The 21,884-nt window shown below is 35.3% G+C and overlaps 1 protein-coding gene across 2 annotated transcripts in view, besides 2 other annotated features; it reads left to right on the plus strand.

The window, feature by feature from the left end:
- Positions 1–10,659, plus strand: part of CFHR5 (complement factor H related 5) — a 34,645-nt gene extending 23,986 nt beyond the window's left edge. For both annotated transcript variants that reach the window (XM_011510020.3, NM_030787.4), the window contains exons 8-10: positions 3,463–3,645; positions 5,642–5,824; positions 9,468–10,659. In XM_011510020.3, the coding sequence (XP_011508322.1) occupies positions 3,463–3,645; positions 5,642–5,824; positions 9,468–9,664 (563 nt within the window). In that variant the 3' untranslated portion in view covers positions 9,665–10,659. The remainder of the gene's footprint in view (positions 1–3,462; positions 3,646–5,641; positions 5,825–9,467) is intronic.
- Positions 14,867–15,067: a silencer, noted in NCBI's record as "peak639 fragment used in MPRA reporter construct". NCBI's record gives its function as "represses an SCP1 promoter by STARR-seq MPRAs in K562 erythroleukemia cells {active_cell/tissue: K562}" and the evidence as "EXISTENCE:reporter gene assay evidence [ECO:0000049][PMID:32103011]".
- Positions 18,398–19,597: an enhancer, noted in NCBI's record as "BRD4-independent group 4 enhancer chr1:196986547-196987746 (GRCh37/hg19 assembly coordinates)". NCBI's record gives its function as "activates an origin of replication core promoter dependent on BRD2, P300/CBP, MED14 and CDK7 cofactors, and independent of BRD4, by STARR-seq in HCT116 cells {active_cell/tissue: HCT116}" and the evidence as "EXISTENCE:reporter gene assay evidence [ECO:0000049][PMID:35650434]".

Genomic DNA, 21,884 nt, shown 5'->3' on the forward strand with positions numbered 1-21,884 from the left:
CACTAATGATTCCAAAATAAAGAAATTTGCAACCACAGGAAGGATAGGAGTTTACACACAAGGTCATAGTTTGAAAGAAATCATATAAAATACACATTAATGATATAAAATACTAATTTATAGCAAAAAGTGTGATGTCATTAGAAATTGTGAGGAAAAATACTGGAATATATTCTTAAACTTAAATACATAAGGATTTCAAAAAGATAAGATAACTACAATTTGTTTAAAGCAACTGGAACATTTTTATGTTTATAAAATATTTGATTTCATTATATATTTTTTCTATTTGAGGAAGAGAAATATTCTGATAGTTGAAAGAAGTTTGAAGCCTTTTATGTGTCCATGAAATGTTTACTTAAATTGGCCAGTCATTCTGCCCAAAATAATTCTCACAACTTCAAATATTAAAGCCCTATAGATGACTTTTTGTAACCACAAACAAATAACATTAAAAGTGTATAAAAAGTTATCCACTTCCTTACCTTTCATTTTGGGTAAGCAAATAATTTACTTCCAAATAACCTAGTGATGTAATGTTTAAAATATTAAGAACTATGTTATAATTACAAGGATACGTAGTAAAACCTATGAGATGCAACCTAAGCAAAATTTAGAATGATGTGGCATTCATAGTCTTAAACTTATCTATTTTGGGAAAAAGTATATATATATATATATATATATATATATATATATATATACACACACACACATATATATACACACACATATGTATATACACACACACATATATGTATATATGTATATATGTGTGTATATATATGTGTGTGTGTGTGTGTGTGTGTATATATATAATATATATGTATATCCTAAAAAGCTAGGGGGAAAATGAATTCAGATATTAGGAGGAAAAGGAAATAATAAAAGTAAAAGCAGAAGAAAATGAAATAGAACCTTGTATTTCCAACTAATCCAAGATATGAAACTAATGTTTTGAAAAGATTAATAAGCAGAGCTGTCTAAATGAGTTGACTCTAATCAAGAATGGTGTGCATACACAAATAAACATTTCTACAACCAAAGAGTAGATGAAAACTGAAATACAGGGAATAATAATATGAGTTCAATTTTTTAAATAAATAAATTACAAGCATAAAGAGAAGGAAAATACTATGAGTCATAGGTATCAAAATAAGGAAGAAGCCTTATTTAAAGTTTTGAGAAGAGCTGGTAGCTAGTAGTCTGGAAATTAGGTAAGAACGTTATTAGGTGGCAAATATTTGTTACACACCTTGCTTGTTCTTGAGAAAAATAATAAAATTTCTCATTTTATGCATCAGAAATACATGGCTTCAAGAAGTTATTTGGTCAAAATCAAGACTGGAACTTGTTTCCAGATTTTTATATCAGTGCTGTTTCAACTAGACTCTGTCTTTACTAGACAGAAATTTCTAAACAGATGTCCAATTCTAAAAGGAAAGTAAGGTGGGCAACTGAGATCATTATGTGTAATGTTCTTTTTACCTAAAATATAAAAACAATAGTATATGTGTGATATTTGAATATCTAACTCACTTAGTTGGGACTTTGTTGATGAAATTCTCATTATTATTTGTACATTTGAGATTACAGACACCTTCAGCTTCCCTATTTCCTGGCACTGGGACATCTAGGAGGCTCATAGCAGGTAACTGCTGAGTCCCTAGATTGGCAGCACAGGCCTTGAGGCTCATTCAAAAGAGTCTTGATGATACTCAATAAGTATTCATCTTTGTGACTATGTATTTAAATAAAAATACTTAAACCACCAAACAGAAATTCATAAACAACAAAAATGTTTAGTTTCCAAAATGTTTACAAAATACCTAAACAAAGAGGTAATAAGACATTAAGTAGAAGAGCTTCTAAATAATAAATAATATTGAAAACTGACCCATCTATCTATCAAATGTGCCTGATATCCTCTTTTCATGTGCTTCTCATAGACTTTCTTCAAACTCATGACCAAACTTTGCTAATCAAAAATGTATACTAACAATAATAATATCAGGCTAATTTTATTTTCTTTTGCAGTTAATTACTGAAACAACACTGATCACAAAAGACTGGTCTTGTTAATGGTTGACTAGAATAAGATGCATCTGGAACTAAGTACTTTAAGTTCACGCTTTTCTTAAACCAGTAAATAAGTAGGACGAGTCATATAAAACATAAAATACGCATCAGTGGGCCCCAGTCCCAGATATCTATCTAGATTTCCACAGGAACAGTTTCTGTTTAGATTTGCACTATTTTGCCTTTCTGACCTTGAAAAAATAAGGAAAAATCCAGTATAAAATTCCTATTTTAGACAATATGTATGTTTTGGCTTATTTTATACTGACCTCAGGTTCTGTTCAAATAATTTATTAAAGATCTGTTGTATATAATTATTATATTTTTTAATCTAGCTAAACCAGGAAAGAGTAGATATGCACTCTTCTGTCTTGATTTTTAAATGAAAATAGTATAGCGAGGAAAAAAAATAGCACTTTCAATGCAATAATTTTTTTTTTCACTGAATATGTTTTTTTTAATTATTGTTATACTTTAAGTTTTAGGGTACATGTGCACAACGTGCAGGTTTGTTACAAATGTATACATGTGTCATGTTGGTGTGCTGCACCCATTAACTCGTCATTTAGCATTAGATATATCTCCTAATGCTATCCCTCCCCCCTCCCCCCACCCCACAACAGCCCCCGGTGTGTGATGTTCCCCTTCCTGTGTCCATGTGTTCTCATTGTTCAATTCCCACCATTTTGAAGGGAAGTGTTAGTAGACAGTAGCCACCACTCTGGAAAAACATGAGATGAAGGAGATCACTGTAAGGGCATGAGCCCAGGTCAGGAGGTTTAGAAAACGCTTTGGCATCCAAGTTGACCATTTAAAACTTTTCCCTAAGAATAAGCCAAGCAACCAAAAAAGAATTTAATTCCTAGTCCAACGGAGGCATTCCAGTTATGTTCATTACCAGCCATTCTCATGTTTACAAGAAAATGCAAGTCATGGAAATCCTTTATTGAGATCTAGGGTTCAGTTATTAGGGGAAGTCATAGTTATTTCTGATTGTTGTCATTTTTATTTTTAAATTGTTTAAATTCAATGTACATAACTTTTTGAATCATATGGGTTAGTTAGAAAAAAATTAAAGAAATTTATTTGTAAATTATACAAGAGAATTGACAGGAATAATGAATAGGAGATACAAGAGAGCATCTGAAAAATTTTAAACTAATGGTTATAACAAAAAGAATCGCTTTTTAAACTGTAAACTATAGTGACACAAAAAATATTTGTTATTATAACATTTATATATAGGGAGAGAGAAAGAGAAAGTGATAGAGAGACATAGTGTGTGTGTGTCATTGAATCTTCCATTTTCCTGAAACACTACCCTATTGAGCTGTTTTTACTTAACTTTTATTAATCATATAATTTAATTCCAATATTTTGTAGAAAAAAGGGAACAATTCTGCCCACCGCCACCTCAGATACCTAATGCTCAGAATATGACAACCACAGTGAATTATCAGGATGGAGAAAAAGTAGCTGTTCTCTGTAAAGAAAACTATCTACTTCCAGAAGCAAAAGAAATTGTATGTAAAGATGGACGATGGCAATCATTACCACGCTGTGTTGGTTAGTAGTTTATTTCTAAGTAATTTCACTTAAAAAGAGGTTATTAATCCCCTTTGCTTTATCTAAAGAAAGAAACAAGAACTTATGACTAATCTGTTGCACTGTACCCCAAAGCCTTAAATTGCTAAGTAACCAATTCTGTCATTTAAAAAAGTTTCTCTAAGAGTTATCTCCAACAGTGTTCATAGAAGAAACAAGTTTGAAATTTCTACATCTTCTTAAAAATCTTTTCTATCATATTTTTACTGTACCTTTTCTATGTTTAAATATGTTTAGATATGCAAATACTTACCATCATGTCACAATGGCCTATAGTATTCAGTATGGTAGCATGCTGTACAGGTTTGTGGCCTAGGACAGCAATACCCAACCTTTTTAGCATCAGGGACATGTTTTGTGGAAGACAATTTTTCCATGGACTGAGGAGGTTGGGGGATGGTTTCAGGATGAAACTCCTGTGCCTCAGATCATCAGGCATTAGATTCTCATAAGGAGCATGCAACCTAGGTCCCTTGCATGTGCAGTTCACAATAGGGTTCAAGATCCTATGAGAATCTAGTGCCCTGGTTGATCTGACAGGAGGTAGTAATGCTGGCAGTAATGCTCATTCGCCTGCCTCTCACTTCCTGTCATGCAGCCCGGTTCCTAAGAGGCCACAGAGGGTACTGGTCTGCAGCCAGGGGTTTGGGGACAATAGGAGCAATAGGCTGCACCATATAGCCTAGGTGTGTAGTAGGCAACATTATCTAGGTTTGTGTAGGCTCACTCCATGATGCTCACACAAGGAAAAAAGAGCCTAATGACACATTTCTCAGAATATCTTCTTGTCATTAAGTGCTACATGGCTGCATTTCAAAAGCACATATTTCAAAATATTACTTGACAAAACATCAGATATGGCAAAGAGTGCTTAGAGCTGGACAAGATGCCTGATAATTGAACAATCTATTTATCTAAATAAAAACCATTGGTAATTTTGCCTAGAGATATTTCCATAGGGGGTAAGTAATTGCAGTGTGTTCAAGAAAGAATGTGGGGTGATAAAGTAAGATCATGGAGGATGAGAAACAAGTAAATGTGTTCAAAAGGGAATAGAGAAATGAGGCAGTTACCGGATAGAAGATATGGAGAAAGTGAAATTTTACCTTATTGAATTGTGACATTTTCAGCATGTTTGTAGGTTGGTGAATGATTAAGTGGAAAGGGAGACATTGATGTTACAGAAGAAAGGAGATAATTCATGAAGAAGGATCTTTTACAAGTTTAAAGGTGAAAGAATCTAGTGTCATCATGAAGAAGTCAATCTGAGAAAGCAAGGACAGTAACTCAATGAAACTAGAGGATGTACAAGCAATTTGGGATAGGATTACTTAGTGATTTCATATTTATGTTCTTGGTGATATATAAAGGGAGATCAGTCAGTACAATTGAACGTATTCCAGCCAATCTTAGCATGAAGTTGTTACTTTTTTTAGTTTTCCCCAAAATCTCTTCATTAGCATGAAGTTGAAACATTTATTGATAGGGAAAGATGCCTACAATATTATTTGGTATCAAAAAAGTAAATGCAGAAGAGTGTGTCTGCAATTCATTTTCAGTAAAACTACAAGTTTATGATCATATACTAGTTGGTATATGCTATTTGCATAAAGTAATAATTACCCTGAGACTAGAAACAGTAAGAAAGTTATTTACTTTTACCTTTCCTCTTTAAGTGACAATTGAATATTAAGGGGTGGAGGAGGAACCTAGACCAGAAGTTTACTCACCTGTCTCTCCTGCCTTCAATAAAAAGTATTCCCGGTATTTTATATGAATTTCACTTTAACATGAAAGGAGCTACAATATGTTTTGAATCAGACTTTATGACAGAAATACTGTAATTAATTATTTGAATTTCCAGACACCTTATATTAAAGATATGATACATGATGCTTCATTATATTATTTTGTTTAAACTAACATAATGTCTCAACAAATAAATGCTGTTTTCCAGAGTCTACTGCATATTGTGGGCCCCCTCCATCTATTAACAATGGAGATACCACCTCATTCCCATTATCAGTATATCCTCCAGGGTCAACAGTGACGTACCGTTGCCAGTCCTTCTATAAACTCCAGGGCTCTGTAACTGTAACATGCAGAAATAAACAGTGGTCAGAACCACCAAGATGCCTAGGTGAGTTCTTAATATTCTCTTGGAATCTGAGATTTAATATTTATAGTGTAATTTTTTTGGACTAATTTCATAGAATAACCCTTACTTAAGTTTCATTCAGTCAAAATCTTTCCTGTCAAATGTAAATACATACAAGGAAACATTTGAAAAATTTGCTTTATGCAAAGTGAGAAAAATTTATTTAAAAACTATAAATAAAATTTTAAAGACCTACATGTGATAAGGTGCATTATGAAATTCTGTAGAGTCCAGAGCTATTTATGGGGCCTATTCGCACTCCATTAAATTGTTTCATGTTATAAGCATCTACCTGAGAACTTCTCACAGAGACCCTTTGAAAAACACTGGTCTAGGAAAACTGTCATTTAATACTATATAAGGTTCTACTTGTAAACCTGAAAGCTTTCCCTAGTAGAACACCTAGTTGACTAATACTGACATGGCTTTTTACTTGCATGTTGGCAGAATTTCTAGCAGGAGAGATAGAAAATCTGGAAGAGTTACTGAGCCACTTTCTAAATCTTCACTATCCCTTCTTTTCACCCTATTTTTTTCTACTACAAAATAATGCCAATATACATATTAAGTTTCCACAAATTCATGTGCACTTTGTGGCATTAAAAAAATTAACATCGTAGACTCCTTATGAAAATTTGGAGATTCACTTTTAGGGCTTAAAAGGAGATTCTTTTATCGGTCATGACAAACTAAAAGGGACAAAATACAAAGATATGGGGCGAATTAATAACACCAATTATGGGAAAAGCATGAACGTCAGTTTACTCTATAATAAGTGGAAGAAAACTGGAATTTCCATAAACCCCTCTGTTTTCTGGTGTCCAAAAGAGACACCATGGTAATAAGGATCTGTTCCTGCAACAGTTCTCACTGTTGCCCAATACCTCACAGGGCTAGACCAGAAGTTTGTTATAGTCTTGAAAATTCATCCTTCTGACGATGTCTCTTTCTTCCACCTTCTGTAGTAACAAATTACCCCAATGCCACTATGGCCTATACAGTGCTTCAAACCACTACTCTGTGTGAGCCCCTCTCCCAGGATATCATTAAAATTGTGTGGGAACTGAACTCAGAAAGTGTTGAGTTAGTATAAGGCAGAAGTATCATCTGAACAATTTTGCTAGAATGAAGAAAAACTAGGTTTCAAAGATAACTTCTAGGATTTAACTTGGAGTGATTGATGGATAGACAAAAATGCCATTATCTAATATTTTAAGTACAGCCAAGTTTTAGATGGTCCAATAATTTAAAATTCGCAGAAATTATCATGGCCAGTGATCATAAAATAAATTTCCAAAAGAAAAGTAAGAACAAAATTTGTAACCTAAAAAGTGTGTACCATGTTGACAATCAGAGTTTGTGGGAAGGGCATTCTAGCAAAAAGAAACAGTATTTTGAACAATAACAAACACAAACACACAATCACGAAAACAAACAAGCAAAAAAACCCATCATAGATATCTGGAAAATTCAAGGAAACATGATCTAACTATGAAATGTAAAATAATTTTATTTCCCATGAGATAGGAGATTAAGATTAGACAGCTCTGAAGAAATAATTTTTTCCAGCCAGGCATGGTGGCTCACGCCTGTATTCCCAGCACTTTGGGAGGCCAAGGCAGGAAGAATCACCTGAGGTCGGGAGTTCGAGACTAGCCTGACCAATATGGAGAAACCCCATCTCTACTAAAAATACAAAATTAGACAGGCATGGGTGGCACGTGCCTGTAATCTCAGCTACTCGGGAGGCTGAGGCAGGAGAATCATTTGAACCTGGGAGGTGGAGGTTGCAGTGAGCCGAGATTGCACCATTGCACTCCAGCCTGGGCAACAAGAGTGAAACTCCGTCAAAAAAAAAAAAAGATATAATTTTTTCCAAAACCAGACATAAATTTATTTGGATGGTTCATGGGTATTGAATGAAGTAGGGAGCCATTACATATTTTTAATAGCAGTTTTTTGACATAGCATCTTTTTTTATTTTTATTTTTTCAAGACAAAGTCTTGCTCTGTCACCCAGGCTGGAGCGCAGTGGCGTGATCTCGGCTCATTGCAACCTCCGCCTCCTGGGTTCAAGCGATTCTCCTGCCTCAGCCTCCCGAGTAGTTGGGATTACAGGCACATGCCACCATGCCCGGCTAATTTTTGTATTCTTAGTAGAGACAGGGTTTCACCCTGTTGGCCAGGCTGGTCTTGAACTCTTGACCTCATGATCCACCCGCCTCGGCCTCCCAAAGTGCTGTGATTACAGGCGTGAGCCACCACGCCCGGCCCAATGTAGTATTTTTAAATTATCAGTTGACTAAGAACATGTGGTTATTTTACACCGAGAAAACATGCAATATGGGGAAATTGTTTAAGGCCCTGGCAGAGATAGATTAGAGTCTTGACTAGTAGGTAAAAAACAGGAACCAAATGAAAGAGGGGTTAAAGATAACTTCAAAATTTCTCGATTTATGGAGAATATTCTCAGGTGCTTAACACATAAGAATTTTTACAAATCAATCAAAATTCAGTATAAAAATTATGTAAGGTACATAAACAGAAAATGAAAAACATATGGCAAACATGAAAGAATGCTTGTCTACACGAACATAAAATTTCAGTGAAGTGTCAATGTTCAACTAGGAGATCGGCAAAAAGAAAAAAGTATATAACATAAAGACTTGGCAAGGATGTGGAGAGTTAAGCACTCTAATATACATACAAGTGTATAATTACATATACATGTGTGTATATGTAATATAAATATATTACATATTACATATATTTTTAACATATATGTATACACATATACATATGTAACATATCTAAATATACATAAGTATGTATGTATAATATATGTATACTTATATACACATGATACATATACATACAATATATGTATACATATAATATACATATAATATGTTATGTATAATATATTATATTATACATTATATATAATCCATATATTATACATAATATACCGATATATATTTATACATTAGATATAAATTGATTACATTACATTAGATATAAATTGTATGTAACATGTATACAATTAACGTACATATATTACAATTAACATACATATAAATGTATGTTATATATACACATTATATTATGTATTATGTATTATATATTATATATAAGATATATATAAATATATATATAAAGTGCTGATTTTAAGAAAGAGTGAGTGATATCTGGGGTCAGGGAAGAAGATAACATTGTTTTTTCTACAGAAATCAAGGTTTCACAAAGTTAAGATTCACAAATAATTACATTATAAAAAGGGATATCTAAACAAACAACATTCATGCTGGTAGAATTTTTAGTAAAGTATAGCAATTAAGAGCTCAGGTTCTGAACTCATACTGGCAGGATGCATATTCTGGCTCAAAACACTCACTAAACTGTGTAGCCTTGAGAAAATCTCTTAGCATTTATTTCCTCATATGTAGCCCATACACAGTGCTAAGAACAGTACCAAGAATAACTCAATAAATATTATTTTTTAAATAAATATTAATATTTTTCATCATTTTAATTCCAAAATATTCTTAAATGCAATTTCACTATTCTATGAAAGGTAAAGATGTATTATTATTTATTTATTTTATTTTACCATTTCTTCTTTCAGATCCATGTGTGGTATCTGAAGAAAACATGAACAAAAATAACATACAGTTAAAATGGAGAAACGATGGAAAACTCTATGCAAAAACAGGGGATGCTGTTGAATTCCAGTGTAAATTCCCACATAAAGCGATGATATCATCACCACCATTTCGAGCAATCTGTCAGGAAGGGAAATTTGAATATCCTATATGTGAATGAAGCAAGCATAATTTTCCTGAATATATTCTTCAAACATCCATCTATGCTAAAAGTAGCCATTATGTAGCCAATTCTGTAGTTACTTCTTTTATTCTTTCAGGTGTTGTTTAACTCAGTTTTATTTAGAACTCTGGATTTTTAGAGCTTTAGAAATTTGTAAGCTGAGAGAACAATGTTTCACTTAATAGGAGGGTGTCTTAGTCCATATTACATTGTTATAACAGAGTATCACAGACTGGATAACTTCTAACCAATAGTTTATTTGTTTCATAAATCTAAAAGCTGAGAAGTCCAAGATGGTGGGGCTGCCTCTGGTGAGGGTCTTCTCGAAGCATCATAATATGCTGGAAGGCATCACAACATGGTGGAAGGGATCACGTGGCAAAAGAGCATGTACATGGGAGTGAGAGAAAAAGAGAGAGAGAGACAGAGTGGCGGGGGCGGGGAGGAGCGCAAACTCATCCTTTATAAAGACACCACTCCTGAGATAACAATCCAATCCCATGATAATGACATTAATCCATTCAAGAAGATAGAGCTCTCGTGACTTAATCACCTTCTAAAGATCTCACCTGACAACACTGTTGCATTGGCAGTTAAGTTTCCACGTAAACTTTCGGGGACACATTCAAACCACAGGAGAAACTCAAATTGTTCCTGGGCAAATCACAACATGGGGAATTTTATTCATAAATGTCCACAGAAACAGTAAATGTTCTCGCTTCAGTACTTAATTCATCTAATCCCTCCTGTTTGTCTCAAATTATAGGATAACTTTGAAACTTTCTGAATTAACGTTATTTAAAAGGAAATGTAGATGTTATTTTAGTCTCTATCTTCATGTTATTATCACTTAAAAACCTGCGAAAGCTGTCAACTTTTGTGGTTGTAGCAAGTATTAATAAATATTTATAAATCCTCTAATGTAAGTCTAGCTACCTATCCAATACTAAATACCCCTTAAAGTATTAAATGCACTATCTGCTGTAAAAGAATAGACTTTGAAATGGGTTTTTTTTGTTTTTTTTTTTTTGAGACGGAGTCTCCCTCTCGCCCAGGCTGGAGTGCAGTGGCGCGATCTCGGCTCACTGCAAGCTCCGCCTCCCAAGTTCACGCCATTCTCCTGCCTCGGCCTCCCGAGTAGCTGGGACTACAGGCACCCGCTACCATGCCCGGCTAATTTTTTTGTATTTTTAGTAGAGACGGGGTTTCATCATGTTAGCCAGGATGGTCTCGATCTCCTGACCTTGTGATCCGCCCACCTCGGCCTCCCAAAGTGCTGGGATTACAGGCGTGAGCCACCGCGCCCAGCCAAAAGAATAGACTTTGAAGTTTTAACCAGTCTTTCTGTGGAGTTTCTAATCTAGTCAAGAGGTGATGTACATATACAAAAAGGTGAAAATTATTAGGTTACAAAATTGCATATATAGAATTATCTGGATGTGTATAAATGGTTATAGAAGAAAGAGTGAGAGAAAAAAAATGATGGCTTTAATAATTCTATGTGGTTTAGGTTTAAAAAATTAAAATAGTCTGGGCACAGTGGCTCAAACCTGTAATCCTAGAACTTTAGAAGGCCAAGGCAGGTGGATTGCTTGAGGCCAGGAGTTCAAGACCAGCCTGTCCAACATGGCAAAACCTTGTCTCTAATATAATACAAAAAAATAGCCAGACAGGGTAGTGCACACCCGCGATTCCACCTACTTGGGAGGCTGAGGCATGAGAACCACTTGAACCTGGGAAGCAAAGGTTGCAGCGTGCCGAGATCATGCCACTGCACTCTATCCTGGGTGACAGAGCAAGACTCTGTCCCAGAGAAACAAAGAAAGGAAGGGAAAGAGAGAGAGAGAAGAAGAAAAAGAAAGAGAGAGGAAGGAAGGAAGGAGGGAAGGAAGGAAGCAGGGAAAGAAGGATGGGAGGGAAGGAGGAAGGGAGGGAGGGAGGAATATTTTCAAATTCTTCACGTTGTCCCAAATTTCATATTTTTCATTTTGAACATATATTACTTTCATATTCAGAAGAGAGTGATCAAAACTGTCACTAACGAACAAGGCAATAGAAGATGGGTATAAAGACCATGTTGGTCATGATGCTGATTTCATGCAACAACTTTATTATTTTTTTATGTACCATAGTTTGGGAAAATACTACACAGGAAGTATTAGAAATATACTTTAGATATTCCTGTATTTCACACAGCATTTCTTAGTTAAAATATTTTTGGTCAGAAGGTTTTTTTAAGTAGCCTGGGACGGAGGTTGCAGTGAGCCAAGATGGTGCCACTGCACTCCAGCCTGGGCAACACAGTGAGACTCTGTCTCAAAAAACAAAAAAGGTTTTTTTAAAGTATCTATTAAAAATATGACTACTAATACAGGTAAAAATTAAGACTTAAAATATTCATCACCACAGATTTGACAATGGATTCTTAGATATCACACCAAAACCACAAATAAGAAAATACAAAGTACAGAAATTGGATTTTCTCAAAATTTAAAATGTCATGCTTCAAAGGATACTATTAAAAAAGGAAAATAGAACTCACACAATGGGAAAAAATATTTGCAAAATTGCATATGTCATAAAGGACTTGTATCTAGAATATATGTAAGGAACTTTTACAACACAGAAAAAAAGAGAAATAAGACAATTTCAAAATAAGCAAAGGATTCAAATAGATATTTCTCTAAAGAAGATATATAAATTGCCATTAGGCACATGAAAAGATGTATAACATCATTAATTATTAAGTAAATATGAATCAAAACCACAGTGAGATAACACTTCACACCCTCAAAGATGGGTGTCATCAAGAAGTCAGATAATAACAAATGATGTCAAGGAAGTTGGAAGCAACATACACTTCTGGTGGGGATATTAAATGGTTTGGTCAATTTGGAAAACAACCTGCAGTTTTTAAAAAAGTTAAACAATAGGATTGCCATTAACTCAGCAGTCTACTCCTAGATACATACCCAAGATAAATTTTTAAAAATGTGTCCACGAAAACACTTGTACACATATGTTTATGGCAGCATTATTTGTGTTAGCCAAAAGGAGGAAACAATCTAAATGCTCATCAATTGATGAATGGGTAAACAAAATGTGGTATATCTAAACAATGGAATATTATTTGGGCATGAAAAGGGAATGAAGTAATAATAGATGCTATAACATGGATGAACCTTGAAAATATTCTGCTAAGTGTAGGAAGCCAGTCACAAATGACCACATATTATGATTCCATTTTTATGGCATGTCCAGACTAGGCAAACCTATAGAGATAGAAGGTAGACCTGTGGTTGGTTAGGGTTGGAGCTGAGGAAGAGAGGTTAGAAGCTGATAGCCAAAGTGTACAGAGTTTCTTTTTTGAGGCGATATTCTAAAGTTGATTGTGGTAATTGTTGTAATACTCTGTGATTACACTAAAAAAAACATTAAATTATACCCATTAAGTGGGTGAATTGTATGTTATGTAAATTATATCTCAAAGACATTACAAAAAATAGTAGTCAATGTTTAAAATTCATGAGGATACATTGGAAATTTAAAAACTAAAAATGATTTTAAAATTTAGGCTTAGTAGCAGAATGTAGAAAAAATTATCTGGGGTTGAATAAAAAAATAAGAATTTGTTACTTACACTTTCTATCTATCTGAAACAGCTGGCTTCATGTCTAGGAAGAAGGCAGGTAACAGTTTTCAATTCTGAGGGGGAAATCTTGAATACAAATATTACCAAAAACTTAAAAAAAGCATAAAAGTGTTTTATTCCAAGTACAATCTTAACCTTATTTTATTTTATTTTATTTTACTTTATTTTATTTTTTATTTTTGTAGTGATGAGGCCTTACTATGTTACCCAGGGTGGTCTCAAAGTCCTGGCCTCAAGCCATCCTCCCACCTCAGTCTCCCAAAGTGTTGGGATTACAGGCAAGTGCACCACACTGTTCCTGTAACAGTATTTTAAACTTGAACATTCCCTCTCAGTTCCTGAGAATTTTTCTAAGTTTTTCAAGCTATTCTGTGACACATTCCAAATCAAGGTGTTTGAACAACAATATAGGGCTTGTTGATAATGTTTGCTACCTTTACCTTACTACTTCCCTGTATAAAGGATAAAGGAAGCCAAACAAGCAAAAGGACTAAAATTAGAAGTTACAGAAAATATTTTCTTGCAGATATTTGTCAGGCATTGTGAGTACCACAACCACTTTTCTTGGGGAAGATGGGTAGAGCTTCATTCCCCATTCCCTCCAGTCTAATAAGAAGGGCTTCAAAGAGATTACTTGGGTGGATTAATCAAGAAAAGATTGACAAAGTACCCCTACTTGGCTCACCCCCCTACTGGAAATCTAAATCCTTTTTTTACAAGAGAGTAAAATGGTATGCAGGTGAAAAAAATGAATTCCTGGAACCAAAACATAAAATGCAAAGGTTGATAGGACTATAAAATGAAAGTTGAAATGTTTAAGCAGGTTTTATGTAAAGTAGTTGTGTATCCTTTAACTAAATGTTTCGTGGAAATGGATATTATGCCTGACTGAGGAATGTTTCCCCTACCTAGTACTGTAAAACAGGACATATAAATCCACCCTATGAGCAATATTAACTGAACATGCTAAGTGGGAGCTAGTAAGATTGTCCAAGGCTAGAGTTTAGGGTGAAAGCTGAGAGTGCTGGTAGGGATGAATCCTCCACTTGATAGCCCTTTGTGGAATGTTCACTAGGACTGATGGCAAAAGCCTGTGAGTGCCTCCCAACAGCGACTACTAGCGCTTTGGAGGAGAGAATTTCCACTTTAGGGGCATTTACGGCATTGCTATGGGAAAATACCCCTCTGCAAGTGAAAACAGCAGTGCACAGAAGACTTCCATGATAAAATGGAAATGATTCTTATAGGATCTTGCTACTTGGGGAGCACAAGGAGGAGATTCTAAGAATCAGGGAGCTATTTTTTCCTCTAGGACTGACTTTTTCCCCTGTGATTCAATTCCCACTTGACTTATGGATGACAATTTAAAGGTGAACAAACGACATCCTGTTTAGAAGCTGCTACTCTGTTTGAAAAAGCGTCAAGAAAACCTTTCTCTTTTGAGCTATTTATAGCTTACCAAGCTTGAGTACAGTATTTTTTGCGAGCAAAATTTACCTTCTCTCTATCCAAGATCTCCAAAACTTGGAAACTATTCATAAGTATTCTTCTTTTAGAGAAATATAATTATTTCCATAAGTTCAGTAAGAATCTGTTTTATTTTGTAACAGGATATAACTGGAGACACTAGTTATTTTATCAAGACTTTGACTTAAATGGCATATTTTCAGATATGACCAGACTGAGGAATTGAGGCCAACTTTATAGAGCCAATAAAAAGCCCCTTGGAAAGGCTGGCCTAGTACCTTGTCTAAGTGATTCCCATGCAAGGTTTCTGACTTGTAGTAAGTAAAAACAATGTCACTTTCAAAAAGGCCCAGGAGCCTCAGGATATTTGGGGACCCCAAGAGGCATGGAATTTGTACATGTATAAGAAGCACAGTCTAATGGTGAGTCCTTGGCTTAGCTTCTGGCCTTGAGGCTTTTAAAAAGTCAAATCTAGGCCAGGCGCGGTGGCTCATGCCTGTAATCCCAGCACTTTGGGAGGCCGAGGCGAGCAGATGACAAGGTCAGGAGATCGAGACCAACCTGGCTAACACAGTGAAACCCTGTCTCTACTAAATATACAAAAAAATTAGCTGGGCATGGTGGCGGGCACCTGTAGTCCCAGCTACTCGGGAGGCTGAGGCAGGAGAATGGTATGAACCCAGGAGGCAGAGCATGCAGTGAGCTGAGATTGTGCCACTGCACTCCAGCCTGGGCAACAGAGCGAGACTCCATCTCACACACACACAAAAGAAGTCAAATCTAAAACTCCTTACAAAAGTTCCAGCCAAACCAACTTAAAAGACTTCTAAATGGCTGATCGCTATTCTTGCTGTACTTCATGCAAATGACCAGGGCAAATATAATGAGACCAAAATTTATTTTGCAAATAAATTGGCCTGCTTTCATTTATTATTGGTAGAAATGGGAAAACTGGAGAGAGAAAAATTTAGATTCTAGCCCTGGCAACTGTTTCTGAATTTTTATTATCTGTCTACAATCTGGGCTAAATCCTGAATTATTTCCTGGCTGCAACAAGTCTCAAGAAGAACCAGGTTTTAATTTTCCTTGTGATGCTTTAAGTTGACTCCTTTATGGAATGGGTTCTTTTTTGTTGTTATTCTGGCATACAAATTCTCTCTTTATTGTAATCCTCTGTGCATAGTATTTCTACCATTCAAATTATTATTGTTATGTATCTCTCATTGTTTTACTTCTTTCAAGAAAATGGAAGTCATGGTATCCTAGAGATGATTCAACAGAGCCTGTGAATCTCACCCATTTGAAATCTTACTGGGCCCCGACTCGTTTTTCACTGCCAATACACTGCTGCTAAAGCTATATAGTATCAAGCACCTTCCCTAAAGTTTCAGGGATCATCTTAGAAGAGGAGGGCGCTTGAGATTGTAAGAGCTGGACTAGATGAGTGGAATGTGGAGGCCAAAGTAACTCCGTCTTAGAAGCTAAACTGCCTTGTTGGCTTCTGATTAACTTCAGAAGCAACTTCTGTTGCTCCTTGTGTAAGAGCAGGTACTTACCATCAATCCTGTCCTTAGGTAAAACAACCTTGAAGTTATTGTACTTCAATTGTCCTACACATCCCTTCTGAACCACCCCTCCTGTGGGGTATGTAAGCCCTGAGACTGAGGGATAATGGCTCAGAGATCCACCATCTTGTCTCTCTGCCACTTCTGACACAGACATGGCTCTGTTCATTAAATCTGTATTAAATGTTTCTTTCTAAGAAAAAAAAAAGAGATTACATGGAAGCCTTGATATTTATTTCACCAGACCTGTCTGGCTTATGACTGAGAGAAATTAAAGAAAAACATAAAGAGAAACAGGCAGAGAAAATAGTCAGAGACAAAGGAGAGATAAATTGTCTTGAAGCCAACTTAAAAGTACATTGTCCAAAAGGCAGCATATTCTAATTAGAAAAAGAAGAGTCAGCAAGGCATTGGAATGCAGTGAAAGCACCAGGTTCCAAAGGGCTGAGTTGTTTTAATAACTATCCACAAATGTATCACCCTAACTTTTCTTCTTCTACTATGGCCCCGAAGGAGTTGAAGGCCATAATAAGTTGGAGGGGACAGTGAGTGGGAAAAACTTCCAGGGATAAAAGAAGAGTCCACCATATCCCCTATTCCCACTACATCTTCCATTTCAGGAGATCAGTGTTGGAGGGAAAGAGAAACTTTACCTTGAACCAAACTCAGATGTCTGATTATTATATTGAATTGGACTTACAAATATTTTTTGTCATAAAGGTCTAATAGACAATGTTGCAGATTTCCTATGGTATCACACCACAAATTTCTGATGCAAAGATTGAGCCTGAATAAGGTTGAGGAAGGACTGAGTTGTACAGTCATGTTTTTTCTTCTGTCTATAAAAAAATAAACTGTGTGCTGTTGCAAGTGAACAGAGCAAATGTCCAGTTCCTGTGATATATTTATGTATTAACCCACATTGAGTTCTAAAGAACAGCAACATGGTAAAGCCTACTTTTCTGTCTATTATACATTTTCCCACCAACATTCTGTTATGATAAGTATTCATATAGAATATTTGAACAAACATCCCCACTTAACAATTGTTGAATCATCTAAATTCATCAATCATTAATGTTTTACCCTATTTGCTTTTTCAATGGCTTCAGTTATCTATCCAGTAATAGAAATCTGTCTATACTTTCATTGAACCAAATCAAACTAAGTTGCTGACATTCTGACAATTCATCGTATCATATTCCACATTTTCAAAAATGCATTATTTAAAATCATAAGAATAGGAGTTCCTCCATCAGTGGTGCACTGCATTATTTTGGCTTAACCCTCTTGTTGGCCGCACTACAAATATTTGAAAAATATTTGTAAAATTTGTTGGAAGTCAGCAGTGCACTACTGAGACATTTAAGCATTACAGGGCCAAGACATAATAGAGAAATTACCTCAGCATTTAGGGGGCACTTTTTCTCTCATAGCAATTGCTGATTTGAAAGTAGCAGTATAAAGACTAAGAAGATTAACATCTATTTTTCCAAAATAGAGATCTTCTGCATGAATCTTAAGCCATGGTATTTACAGAAGATGGAGTGGAATGCCAGTTTAGCAGGATTATGGCTCCCTCTGCCTTTGTGGCCTAAACCGATGCCATTGGGATTGCCTTTCCTTTTCCAGGAAGAGCTTCCTTCCTTCCTTTGGTCAAAGACAGAAACTTTTAAAATGTAGCCTTTCAACATCCTCATAGTTTAGGTATTCTTTTGGAACTCAGATATTTTAGTTTAATTTAAAATTTCTAACATGGATTTATTTTCTCTCTTCTTTCCTCCTAGTGATTGTCTTCTCTCTACCAACAAAGGTTTTTCCGAGGTATTCCTTCAAACTCCGCGCCATTACCTAGTCCACTGTTATCAACAAAATCACAGTAATTTACTAGGGGCTGTGTCATTTCTGCACAATAATTTTTTTTCACAGAATCACAGTATTTCCTCAAGATGTATTGTCAAAAATTAGTCAATAATGAATCTCATCCCTCAATTTCAATGTATAAGTAATGCAGTTTCTCTTATAGAATTTTATTTACATCCTAAATCCTTATTCTTTTGAGAGAGAAACTAAATCTCAATCAAGTTGGGATTAACTACTATTTCAGAAGCTGCTAAAAATAATTCCCCAATATTTGCTCTCTATTTCTTCCTTTTATAAATAAAACCCTCCAAGTTTCTCTGCCTAGGTATATGACACAATAGTGGAACACTGCAGTTTCCTCCTTTTTTCTAGGTCCACACTGGTTTGAGTTCTGGCCAATGCCATATGAGTGGAAATAATTTGTTCCCTTGTTTGTCACAGCATTAAAAGGAATCTCGTTGCTTGTCACTTCCTCTTTCCTTTTTCCGAAGGGGTAGAACACAGATGTACTGGCGGTGAGCCATCTCGGATCATGTTGATAAAGCAGCCCGCTGAAGAATAGTAAAGCAATAAGACAGAAGATACTTGAATCCCTAGCTGGTATGATCCAAGCTTGTATGATCCAAACTATGCCATGTCAGTTTCTGGACCCAAATCTTAAAGACTGTGGCCGCTTCCACTTCCTGTCTCTTGGAATACTTCCTATCAGAGAAAGTCCAAACAGCCCTGTTGAGAGGCTCATGTGCAGTGGAACTGCAGCTCCTACTGTACAGCCTCAGCTGATCTTCCAGCCAACAGCCAGCACCATCTTGCTAGCCATGTGAGTCAGCCATCTTAAAAATAGATATTCCGGTCCTAGTCACGTCACCTCAACTGAAAGCTTGTGGATTAGAGAAGCACCATCCTGTCAATCCCTGCCCAAATTTCAGGTTTGTGAGTAAATTTGCTTTTTGTTTTAAGCCAATCTTATAAGTTTGCAGCGGTTTGTTATGCAGTAATAGATAGCTAGAATGCCATTAAATACATTATTAAATGAAAAATGCATTGAATAATTCCCTGTAAATGTTAAGAATAATGAATACATACTTGACAAAGAGCATCGGTAGCTACTTTTTAATCAAAGGACAGCTTACCCTTAGAATGATGAGAATTAAGAAAAATAAGGTTTAGTAACGTCAGTTACTTACGAATAATTGCAAACTCCATTTATGACATACAAGGCCCTTCTTGTTTGACTTCAAATTACTTATCCAACTCTACCTTCCATTAGTCTCCAAAAATATGCCATAAAATAATTAATATTGTTCTGCCAGTTCTCTATGCTTTTTCACTTTGATCATGTTATTCTCTCTCAAGGCTCCTCCTAAATTCCCACATGCAGACTGAATAATTCCTGTTGACATATGTTACACTGACAGTATAACTAAATCCAAACCTGATTAAATCCCAGGAATTGATGTTATCTCCCCTCGCAATCAGAAAAAAATATCTGTTTAGTTGCATACCAAGCAGAAGACGTGGTGATTATTTATTTGGTAATGATGATCTGAGAAAAATCAAATGATTGCTTTAGCCTTGGTTTTTGTTTTATACCCATTTATTAATATTTTCTTTTGCTTTCGAGACTAATGTATAGTTTAAAAGTCTTAGAGCAAAAATTATGTATCAAAAAAATTTATCAAATAAAACTGTTGCAAGTATGCTTCTTTGCAGAGCAAATGGTAACCTGTAATTTCAGGATATTGTTCATATCCATCAGTTTGGATTTTTGTTGGTGTTTTATAAAAGGCACTTGATTTTTGTCATTCTTTTTTTTTTTTTTTTTTTTTCTGCAAGACAAGAGTCTCACTCTGTCGCCCAGGCTTGAGTGCAATGGCACGATCTTGGCTCACTGCAACCTCCACCTCCCACGTTCAAGCAATTCTTCTGTCTCAGCCTCCTGAGCAGCTGGAACCACAGGCATGCACCACCACACCTGGCTAAGTTTTTGTATTTTTAGTAGAGAAGGGGGTTTCACCATGTTGGCCAGGCTAGTCTTGAACTCCTGACCTCAGGTGATCTGCCCATGTCTGCCTCCCAAAATGCTAGGACTACAGGTGTGAGCCACAGTGCCTGGCCCAGTTGTTGTCATTCTTTATTCCCTAAGAAATATTTCTTTTTAAAAGACATAGAAATAAAATGAGATAAAATACAAAACTTAAGTTGGTATTAGACAGAGATAATAATCTACCTTAAATATCCCTTGATTTAATTTTTTTAGATTTTTACATATATAATACAAAAGAGGAGACAAGATATTTTAGACTAGAAAGAACAAGATGACATATGATAAGTTATAAAGTATTTTATGTGGGGAAATATTATTGAATTTTATTAATTAGTAAAATACATATTTTTTCTCTCAATTATTTTATTGGCAGTGACTTAACCTCTTTTAACATTTGAACCTTTACTATAAACAAAGATGAAGGCAATACGTAAAATAAATTAAGATGTACTTGCTGAAGCTGGTGGGGAGGTGGTTGAAAGGAAAAAAGCAAGGAAGAGGGAAGACAGGGCCTACTGACTTTCTTCCTGCAGTGTCATCCAAGGGGAGGCATGATATGCAATTGTATGTCATTGCTTTGCAATCAGGTCTTTCTAAAACTACAGTGTAAAAGTTAGGAATTATGAGTTCAGGCCAAATAATTATTCTTTGTTCTCAAAAAAAAGAGTTTCTGCCATGCTGATTTCTTCAAAGCAGTGCCTCTACTAATTTCGAACTAGAACTGGAAAGCTTTGAAAATTATCATAAGAATATTATTTATTTGATTTACTATCTTCTCTATGTCCTAGCTAAGCTAGAATTGAACTGGACTTTAAAGCAATTTAAGAATAATAGAGTGTGTCATCATTCTAAATGTAAATTTTAGGTGTTATGTTATCTAGCAGACTTATTTCTTCAGAAAATAAGAAGAATATGACCACAGAGTACTTGAGTACCAAAAGGACTTTCAGGTTATAACTGTTAAATTAGCAGTTCTAGCACTAATGGCATAATTATAAAATTGGGCATTCAGCATTTACTAATGTACTTTTGTCATTAGAAAGTCAAAAATGGTTGGATTCTGGTCACATTTATTCCTAATTGGATCTTATGGGAATTAACATTTATTGATTTATGTCTAGATTTATCATTTCAGCTGAATTGCAAATACATCAAAGAAAGCACACTAGGTTTATATTGTAGACATCCTACATGAGGCCTTGAAACAATATTCGTAGATCCATTATCTACTAGACATATAATACGAAAAAGTCATACATGATGACTGAATCAAGTCTGAAAAATGATTTAATTACTAATTACCTAAGTGAAAATTCTTTTAACACAATGTATAACATTTTTCTTCTTTATGAACAAACTTTGCTATCTGATTCTCACGCCACCCTTGCCAAACTAGTGGAATCCAACACCCAATCTAGCCAATCGCCTCATCAAGTCAGCCCTCACCCTTCCCCCTTCAAGCCATGGGGTTTCTGATAAGTAGAGTTCTACTATACTCCTACGTAGTCTACTATTTCTTTGCCTTAAATCTGAAGCCTGGCAGAAGAGTTGTTTGGAGCTCCTGCTACAACTATTATCCAATAGATAGCAGAACATTGCATTCAGTCACCTATACTCCTGCCA

The sequence above is a fragment of the Homo sapiens genome, chromosome 1 (genome assembly GCF_000001405.40).
Source record: "Homo sapiens chromosome 1, GRCh38.p14 Primary Assembly".
NCBI classification, from domain to species: Eukaryota; Metazoa; Chordata; class Mammalia; order Primates; family Hominidae; genus Homo; species Homo sapiens.